The 9,265-nt window shown below is 42.4% G+C and overlaps 1 protein-coding gene across 3 annotated transcripts in view, besides 2 other annotated features; it reads left to right on the top strand.

The window, feature by feature from the left end:
* Positions 1-9,265, top strand: part of RAB30 (RAB30, member RAS oncogene family) — a 98,765-nt gene that overhangs the window by 223 nt on the left and 89,277 nt on the right. The window contains exon 1 of one of the 3 annotated variants that reach the window (NM_001286061.1): positions 213-343. The exons of the other annotated variants lie outside the window; for them this stretch is intronic. The gene's annotated coding sequence lies outside the window, so the exon portion shown is untranslated. Of the gene's footprint in view, positions 1-212; positions 344-9,265 lie in introns of those variants that run through there. 3 annotated transcript variants of the gene reach the window in all.
* Positions 1,589-1,818: an enhancer, noted in NCBI's record as "active region_5344". NCBI's record gives its function as "activates an Ori minimal core promoter by ATAC-STARR-seq in GM12878 lymphoblastoid cells {active_cell/tissue: GM12878}" and the evidence as "EXISTENCE:reporter gene assay evidence [ECO:0000049][PMID:35858748]".
* Positions 1,839-1,888: an enhancer, noted in NCBI's record as "active region_5343". NCBI's record gives its function as "activates an Ori minimal core promoter by ATAC-STARR-seq in GM12878 lymphoblastoid cells {active_cell/tissue: GM12878}" and the evidence as "EXISTENCE:reporter gene assay evidence [ECO:0000049][PMID:35858748]".

The following is a 9,265-nucleotide window of genomic DNA, read 5'->3' as shown; positions in this document are numbered from 1 at the left end:
TATTCAAATGCTTCTACCAAGTTATTCCTCCCGCTTAGTTCTCAAGGCTTTCTTTTGGGAAGCTGTGAGCGGTGGGGAGGTGGGGGGGATTGGGGAGAGGCTTGCAGGCACAGCTAAGGGGAAAAGCTCTGTGCCATTTGGGTCACTGCAAAGAACAACTCCAGCAACCTTCCCCCGCCAGAGGACGGGTGCCTGCCAATTCCCTAGTCGCAACTCCTCTCAACCTTTTTGAGGCGGAGAGAGGGGGCTGGGCTGGGAAGGATGTTGGGGAGTGCTCTTGGAAAATCTGAGGAAGGCAGAGGTGGGGGACTGCAGTCCTGTCACACACGGCCCGAGAGCTGAGGTTTGAGTGGGAAGGGGTGATGCGTGGGGAGAAATGGAGACAGTGAATTAATGTGGTCGCACTACTTTAGAACATTTGAATGTCGCTTGGACGAGCACTAGTTATTAATTTTTAAGATGAACGTGCTTAAGTTTTGTAGGGCTTTATTTTATGTGTGTATGTCTATGTGGTTTGTCTCGCCTTTTCTGCTGATTTGAGGTGACAGTGTCCTTTAATGGTGCACTCCGTGCCAGTCAGAAACATTTCACGTGTCTGGCGAAGGTTCTTTCAGGCTGCTGGAAGCAGCGTTTTTGTTAAATGTTTTCCGTTCTCCGACTGCTGGATTCAAGATTGTTTGGAAGTGGAGCCGACAGATTTGTGCTTGTGTGTTTTAAATTACATTGCATAGGCTCTTTGCCACTGACAATGGTACCATAATGAGCTGCTGTTTCCTGAGGCATAGTCACTACTCACAAATAACGGTTTGAAGAGATCGATTAGGGAAGAGGGGTTCATTTTAACACATTAGAGAAAGGGAAAGTTAGAAGCGCTGTTAACCTTCATTTGCCATTACTGAAAGGTGCCCATGGAAGAGTGATTTTGGTTGTTTTGTTATTGTTGTTTTTTTAAACGAACTGACATTTAACAGGAGAGAAAGCATTCTGACTTACATGATGCTCTTGTAAGAGTTATAGGGATAATTAGGGCAATAGATATGTTACTTTGAGATAAACAGCTGGCTGGCTCCACAACAGATGGGGCCAGTCTTGGCTGAGAGATCTACACCCTTGGAAATGAATGGGCCTGGGGTCAACCACACCCCCTCTTGGAATGTCAAAAGAAGGAGAAATGCCAGAGTATTTGCTTAACTCTAGAATGCTAAACCTTTTCCTAGCTGAGTCAGACATGGGCGAAATTCTTTACTGGCTGTCTTCTGCTGCTAAGCCAATTTTGTTCATTTTAAATTCAGATCCTTAGGTCTCCAAAGTTGTAGCTGTGTGATATTTCATTAAATGCTGCTTGATGCTGAATGCAAAGGACAGTCCATTGTATGGGCTTTGTAGTAGAGTGATTTATTGGGATGCCAATGAGCAGCTTTTGGATTTGGGAAAAGATCAACAGTTAGCCTTTGCCTCTGCGTCTCTCTGTTGATGACGCTCTGCTCTTCTGGACACCCTACCCTTCTCTCCTGTACTTTCATTTCTTCCCCCCACCCCACCCCATCCCACCCACATCTCTTGAAATTCTGTTTATTTCTCTATCTCTCCATTTGCAGTTTACATTTTTCCTTTCTGTTTCAAAACCCCTCCTTTATCACCAGCATATCACATCTCTTTCTCTTCAATCTTAGAACACACTCCCTGGTCCTCCACTTCAACTAGGAACTCCTGGGTGGATGTAGACTATGTGAATATTTTTGCAGAATCCTCTTTGAAGAGAATTTCTTTGCCTTTTCTTTTTCTTGCAGTCTGTGCTTGGCAGGATGAGCAGCAATGAGCCTGACCCCTGGTCTGGTTTGTAGTTCCTGTGACAGACATAATTTAGCCCCAGCAGCATGTGAACAATGAAATGCTGCAGTTGGGCTCATGCCACTTTTCCTTTCACTGGCACCTGCCTATGGATTAGCAAGGTTTTTAAATGCTCTACATGAAATGTTCTCATAATTCCCAAGGAATAAGTAGTCTTCAAGTGGCTTGCCTTATACAATACATTTTTTTTTTCCTTATCCTTGCTGCAGCTGGTGGTGGGAAGGCTGATCTTTCCCCCCTCTTTCTTCCTGTTCCCTGTGGATTGCTGAGTAGCAATCCAGGTGGCCAAACTGCCCATTTGGTTTTTTGAAGATACTTGGAGGACAACAGTTCCCCACCCACCCTGGTTGTTTCTTCTCCTCTGTGCAGGAAAGAAGTTTGTTATTTTATTCTCTTCTCTTAACGGGAAGAGTGTGATAGTGGCTATATTTGTTTATGTAACAGCAGTGCTCCTCTAGGTGTGGAAAGTCTAACTGCTATCCATCTGGAGGCAACTAGTGTAACAGGCAGATTCAGAAGCTGTCCTCTTAGACCTTTTATGCACCATCTTCTCATTCCTAATTTTCTTCTTCTGAAATACTTCCTTACCCACCAAAGTTTCTTTTATTGTCCTAGGGAGGAGAAATGGGCTGAATGTAGTGTTAGATTTGGCCTCATCACTGCTGTCTCTGGGACCTTAAATAACTATTCATTTCTTTCTGCTTCGGTTTACTTATTTGCAAAGGGATAATGATCCTTGCTCTTTGGTTTACTGATGTTATAGCCCTCTATAATCTGGCCCCAACCTATAATTCTGACAATTTATATTGATTGAGCAGCTACCATGTACTAAGCACTGTGGATACATCAGTGAAAACAAATGCTTTCCCTGACTTCATGGAGCTTATATTCTAATAGGGGATATACTTAATAAATAATTGCAAGTGTGATGAATGCCATTTCCAAAAGGGTTGGGTAGGAGTGCCTGACATGGTACTTTCCCCTTGTCTAGGGTTATCAGGAAAGGTTTCCTATAGGAAGTGACACTTCAAGAGACTTGGAGGGTAAACGGAAGTAGTAATTCAGGATGGCAGTGGGAGATGCTTATAGTGGGACAAAGGTTTCTGGCAGAGGGAACTTCATGTTCAAAGTTCAAAGGGAAGAGTGGTGAACCTGAGGATTTGAAAGGAAGTTAGAGACAGAGCAAGAGGAGAAAGACTAGAATGAAGAATGAGGCTGGAGAGGTGGGCAGAGGCTAGAGAGTAGGCAGTTCTTTGAGCTACAGGTGTATTTTGGTCTTTATCCTAAGGCTAATGAGAACCTAGCCTGGCTTTAAAAAACTAGATGAATGGCATATGTAGGATGATATTAAAATATTATCCTGGCTGTTAAGTAGAGGAGATTGAAGGAAAGACTTGGTCAGAGTGAATGTGTAGAGACCAAGTAGCAAATAATTTTTGTCGTCTGTATGAGGGATGATGGTGCTTAGATCTAGGGTGGTGACAGAGGGTTTAGAGAGACACTAAGTTTTTTGTTTTTTTTTTTTGAGACAGAGTTTTGCTCTTGTTGCCCTTGCTGGAGTACAATGGCGCAATCTCGGCTCATTGCAACCTCCGCCTCCCAGGTTCAAGCAGTTCTCCTGCCTCAGCCTCCCTATTGTCTGGGATTACAGGTGCCCGCCACCATGCTCAGCTAACGTTTGTATTTTTTTTTTTTTTTTTGAGACAGAGTCTCACTCTGTCGCCCAGGCTGAAGTGCAGTGGCATGATCACAGCTCACTGCAGCCTCCATCTCTGGATTCAAGCGATTCTCCTGCCTCAGCCTCCCAAGTAGTTGAGATTACAGGCACCCACCACTCCCAGCTAATTTTTATATATTTAGTAGAGATAGGGTCTCACCATGCTGGCCAGGCTGATCTCTCAAACTCCTGACCTCAAATGGTCCACCCGCCTCAGCCTCCCAAAGTGCTGGGACTACAGGCGTGAGCCACCGCACCTGGCAACTTTTGTATTTTTAGTAGAGATGGGGTTTCACCATGTTGGCCAGGCTGGTCTCGAACTCCTGACCTCAGGTGATCCACCTGCCTCTGCCTCCCAAAGTTCTGGGATTACAAGCATGAGCCACCATGCCCGGCCGACACTAACTTTGAAAATTGTAATTGATAAGATTTGTTGATTGATTGGATGGGGGGATAGGGAGAAAAGGGAGTCATGAAATGACTTGAGTTTTTTTCTTGAGCAACTGGGGATGACGTTTTCAGAGAAAGAGAACACTGAATGGGAACCAGGTCTTTTTGTTTTCCGAAGGGAGGACCTTTGGACATGCTGAGTTTGAGGTTCCTGGAAGACATCTAAGATCTTTCACTCTTGCTGTCCATGTGTAGGATGTGGCATGATGGAGTAGAAGAGAGCTCTGGACGAGGCTTTCTCACACTGGACACTGCTTATTTATTAGCTGTATGATGTTGGACATATCACATTTTTTTTTCTGAGCTTTAGTTTCCTCATCTGTACAATGTATTTATTCCAATAGTTTATACTTACCCCAGCATGGAAAACAACAGTATACTCAGTTTACTTATTTGTTATAACAGTTTTCCATGCACCATGCTAGGAAAACAACATTGAATAAGATACTGTTTACTTCGGAGGAATTCACTCAGGTGAGGGAGACAAACGTAAATAATCACGTACAAAGAGGTACTTTGGCAATACTAGGCTAGGGGGTAGGGGTGATGGGTGCGGGAGGCATCCACACCTTTGATCCTAGACATGAAGGCAAGCAAAAGCGCTCCAGACTGTGTTTCCAGGCACCCAACAGAATGCCTCACACAAATTAGGGACTCTAAATGTTGGTAGAGTGAGTGAATTAACCTAAGTCACTAAGGGCCTATTCAAAAGCAGGAAATATCAACACATTGGAAGAGGACTATTAGTAATAATACAGATGCCAAATGTAAAATGCTTTTAAGAGACCCATTAAAATGTATTCTAGGCCAGGCACAGTGGCTCACGCCTGTAATCCCCACACTTTGGGTGGCTGAGGTGGGTGGATCACCTGAGGTCAGGAGTTCAAGGCCAGCGTGGCCAACATGGTGAAACCCCGTCTCTACTAAAAATACAAAATTAGGCGGGGGTGTAGTGGTGCATGCCTGTAGTCCCAGCTACTCAGGAGGCTGAGGCAGGAGAATCACTTCAACCCAGGAGGCGGAAGCTGCTGTGAGCCGAGATTGTGCCATGGCACTCTACTCTGGGCCACAGAGTGAGACTCTGTCTCAAAACAAAAAAAAGTATTCTTGACACTTTCAGCTTTTGAGATATTTTGTGATCACTTTTAGGGAAATTCAGAAATATTTCAGATCTGGTTTCTTTTTGGGCTGAACTTCCTTTATTCAAGTCAGTTTCTCAAAAAAATCATTCTAATTGCACAGAGTTCCCTGAATCAATGGGTCTCAGAGTTTTGAATTATATAGATTAGTAAAATTACAAAAAATAAAATTGAATGTACTGTGAACAATAGTTATTCTTCTGTAGTAAATTGAAAATGCCTCCTCACTTTTATCTCATAGAAAATATATTTAGCTTTATGAAAAATTCTCTACATTGGGTTTTCTCATTTTGTTGCAGAAATGAAACATCAGAATAGTGTAATAATTTAGGGAACCATTGCCCTATTTTCTTGGCTGTGGTGGAAATGTGATCCATCTCCAAATAAGGGCATTTCCAAGTATGGAGGAATTTAATATGGACCACAGTTAATTTATTTTTAGTTTTTTCCTTATAGGAAGCCAACTTTTGAGAACTACGTAGGCCTCCTCAAGATTAGCCTAACGTAGCAGTTCTTAATTCATGCCTGAAAGGTCCTCAGGAAGACCATGAACCTTTGAGATCATGTTAAATTGTATACGTATACATATTTATGTGCTGGAGTTCATACGTACATGCACATATTTTTGTATCATACGCGTGTGTCCTTGAGCAAATTACTTAATCTCTTTGAGCCTCTGTTTCTTTGTAAGGTTGTTGGGAGGTTCACATGATGAGATCATGTGTTTTAAATGTCTGACACTATGCTTGGTATAGCTGGTGCTCATGGTAGCTGTTTTTAACATTATTTATCCTTTTAAACATTTTATTTATTGGGTGGTGCTTGTTTAGTATCCACAGTGACAAAATGAGGAAAAAGATAATTTAGTGTAACTACACAACCTGATTCAATGGGAAGTACACAACATCACTGATGTAGAATTTTTGCCAGAAATGCTTAACTTAAATCTAACCATGGGGCTGGGCATAGTAGCTCACATCTGGAATCCTAGCACTTTGGGAGGCCACGGCAGGAAGATTACTTGAGCCCAGGAGTTCAAGACCACCCTGGGCAACATAGGGAGACTCTGTCTTCTCCTTTCCTTTCCTTTCCATTCCTTTCCTTTTCTCTCTTTCCTTTCTCTCTTTCTTTCCAGAGCCTCACTCTGTTGCCTAGGCTAGAGTGCAGTGGTGTGATCACAGCTCACTGCAACCTCTACCTCCTAGGCTCAAGGGATCCTCCCATCTCAGACTCCTGAGCAGTGGGGACCACAGGTGTGCACCACCATGCCTGACTAAATTAAATTTTTTTTTTGTAGAGACAAACTGTCACTATGTTGCCCAGGCTAGTCTTGAACTCCTGGGCTCAAGTGGTCCTCCCATTTTAGCCTCCCAAAGTGTGAGCCACTGTGCCCAGCTCTTGTCTCTATTAAAAGAAAAAAAAAATCTAACCATAAATAAATAATCAGACAAATCCAGATTGTGGGACATACTGCAAAATAACTGGCTTATGATCTTCAAAAATGTCACGCATGAAAGACAACAAAAATGGAAGGTATGAGGGACGACAATCTATATTAAGGGAGACTAAAGAGATATGACAACCAAATGGAACATGTAATCCTAGATTGGATCCTGGACTTAAAAAAAAAAGCTACAAAAGACATTTTCAGGATAATCGGGGAAATTTGAATGGGAGCTACATATTAGATAATCAGTAACAATGTTAGTTTTCTTGGATGTGATAATGATTCCATTTGTTTAACCTGACACGTTGTAGATATTGGTATATGATCAGCTGGCGTTCCTGAATGTCTTCAGGAATGTCATAGCAAAGCTAGAACACATCAAGGGCTGCTTCAGGAGGTAGTGATTTTCCTGGTCATTTCAAGTATTTAATCAGCCTATGGGCTGGGATACCACTTTTTGGGACATTGTAAGTGTTGTTTTATATCCTTTCTAAATACAATCCTGTATTCTGTGACTGGAAACTTCTACAGCTGGCACTCTATGTGTGACATTACTAGAGGGAGCAATGCAGGAGGAACATTAGCTGTTCCCAAATCGAAGGGAAAAGGTACCTAAATATATATCTCAAATTTGTTTTTTGATTCTAGAATTGACATAAGATTGGCTGGGCGCAGTGGCTTATGCTTGTAATCCCAACACTTTGGGAGGCTGAGACAGGTGAATTGCTTGAGTCCAGGACTTTGAGACCAGCCTGGGCAACATGGTGAAACTCTGTCTCTACAAAAAATATGAAGATATTTTTGTATTTTTTAGCTGGGTGTGGTGGCGCACACCTGTGTCCCAGCTATGGGGAAGGGTGCGGCTGAGGCAGGAGGATCCCTTAAGCCCCAGAGGTCAAGGCTGCAGTGAGCCCTGATCATGAGACCTTGTCTTAAAAAAAGAAAAGAAAGAAATAACATAAGATTAATTAAAATTCATTACAGAAAAACACATGGACTGTATAGGGAAAGTCCTCTTTAATTCTACCCACAAAGATAATCAACTGTTAGATTTTGATGTGTATTCTTCTGTCATTTTTCCCCATATGTGTACTAGCAATATTATTATAGCACATGTAATTCTGCTTGTTCTCTTTTACTTAATATATTTTGGGCATTTCCCCCATGTATTTGCATATTGCTCCAACTTACCTGTTTTAATGGTTGTTGGGAACTGTGCTACAGTGAGCCTTTGAGTACCTCATTTTATTATGAATTTGTGGGAATATTTCTGTAAGATATCTTTCAGGGGGCAGAAATGCTGAGTCCAAGGGCACTAGCATTGCCCCCTGATTTAAATTCTTGTCAGCAATGTTGAGAGGGCTAACTCTACATACCTTTGCCAAGTCCATTAGCCACTTGGGCTGAACTCTTTTACTAAGGGAAGCTAGTTGCGAAGGGTGAACAGAACGGGGGCAAAAATTGAACTACGGAGTTCCTGCTGGTTTTTGTGATGGTGGTAATAAAAGTTGATGTGTAAATAATGTAGAAATCCCTGGAAGAGAGAAATACTTTATCCCTGCCTGCAACACAGTACAGTGTTTAAAAAGTGAACTGAAACAATAAAGCAGTCAAGAGTTTTCCCCAGAGAATTCTGCAGAAAAATTTTATTTTCTAGTTACGGTTAGTTAACTTCACTAAAATGTGGACGTCATCAACCTTGAAATGAAAATATCTTCTGCTCACTTCCTCTACATCTCAGTCATGCAACCACATTGCAAAGAGAATTTAAGCTCCACTTTTAAAATATCTGAAGCAGGTGGTTAAAAGGCCCGAGTGTTCATTTTTCTGAATTTCAGTAGAAGCAATCAAAGGGCAGATTTTTGGCATTTTTCTTTAGAGAAGCAGGTGTGAGCTTAGGAGTGGCCATCAGTGAGTCACTTTGCCCTAACAGGAACCCTGGGGAAGAGATTGTGAGGATCGCAGCCATGAATTATTTTCACTCTTTAGCCACTGTGGCTGGGTGAAGCAAACAAAAAATTTGAGCTGTTTGCTACGTGGACAACTTATCTTTTTTTTTTTTTTTTTTGAGACGGAGTCCCACTCTGTCACCCAGGCTGGAGTGCAGTGGCGCAATCTTGGCTCACTGCAACCTCCAACTCCTGGGTTCAAGCGATTCTCTTGCCTCAGCCTACCGAGCAGCTGGGATTACAGGTGCCCACCACCATGCCTGGCTAATTTTTTTGTATTTTTAGTAGAGATGGGGTTCCGCCTTGTTGGCCAGGCTGGTCTCAAACTCCTGACCTCAGGCGATCCGCCCACTTCAGCCTCTCAAAGTGCTGGGATTACAGGTGTGAGCCACCATGCCTGGCTGAGCCTCAGTTTCTTTATCTATAAAATGGGGATTATTGTGGGGCTCAAAGGAGATGTTGTGTATAAAAGGACTTTGGCAAATTTATGTGCACATAAATATATTCTGTTGTCAAAGGGTTCATGTCTCAAACTCTCAAACTGAGCAAGTTCATACTAGTCTTTCCTTTAACTCCAGTGGCCTTTGTAGGCTGAATGACTTTTTGAAAGGAATTCTGTCTCATGTTGTCTAATTGTTCCTTCTTCAGCCAGTGTTTGTGTGCTAAATGCAAGGTCCTGTGCTGGGTATTCTGATAAAAAAACAAAGGTGGA

The sequence above is a fragment of the Homo sapiens genome, chromosome 11, assembly GCF_000001405.40.
Source record: "Homo sapiens chromosome 11, GRCh38.p14 Primary Assembly".
In the NCBI taxonomy this organism is placed as follows: Eukaryota; Metazoa; Chordata; class Mammalia; order Primates; family Hominidae; genus Homo; species Homo sapiens.
Note: the sequence above shows the minus strand (reverse complement) of the source record. Positions and strands in the feature narration are given on the sequence as shown.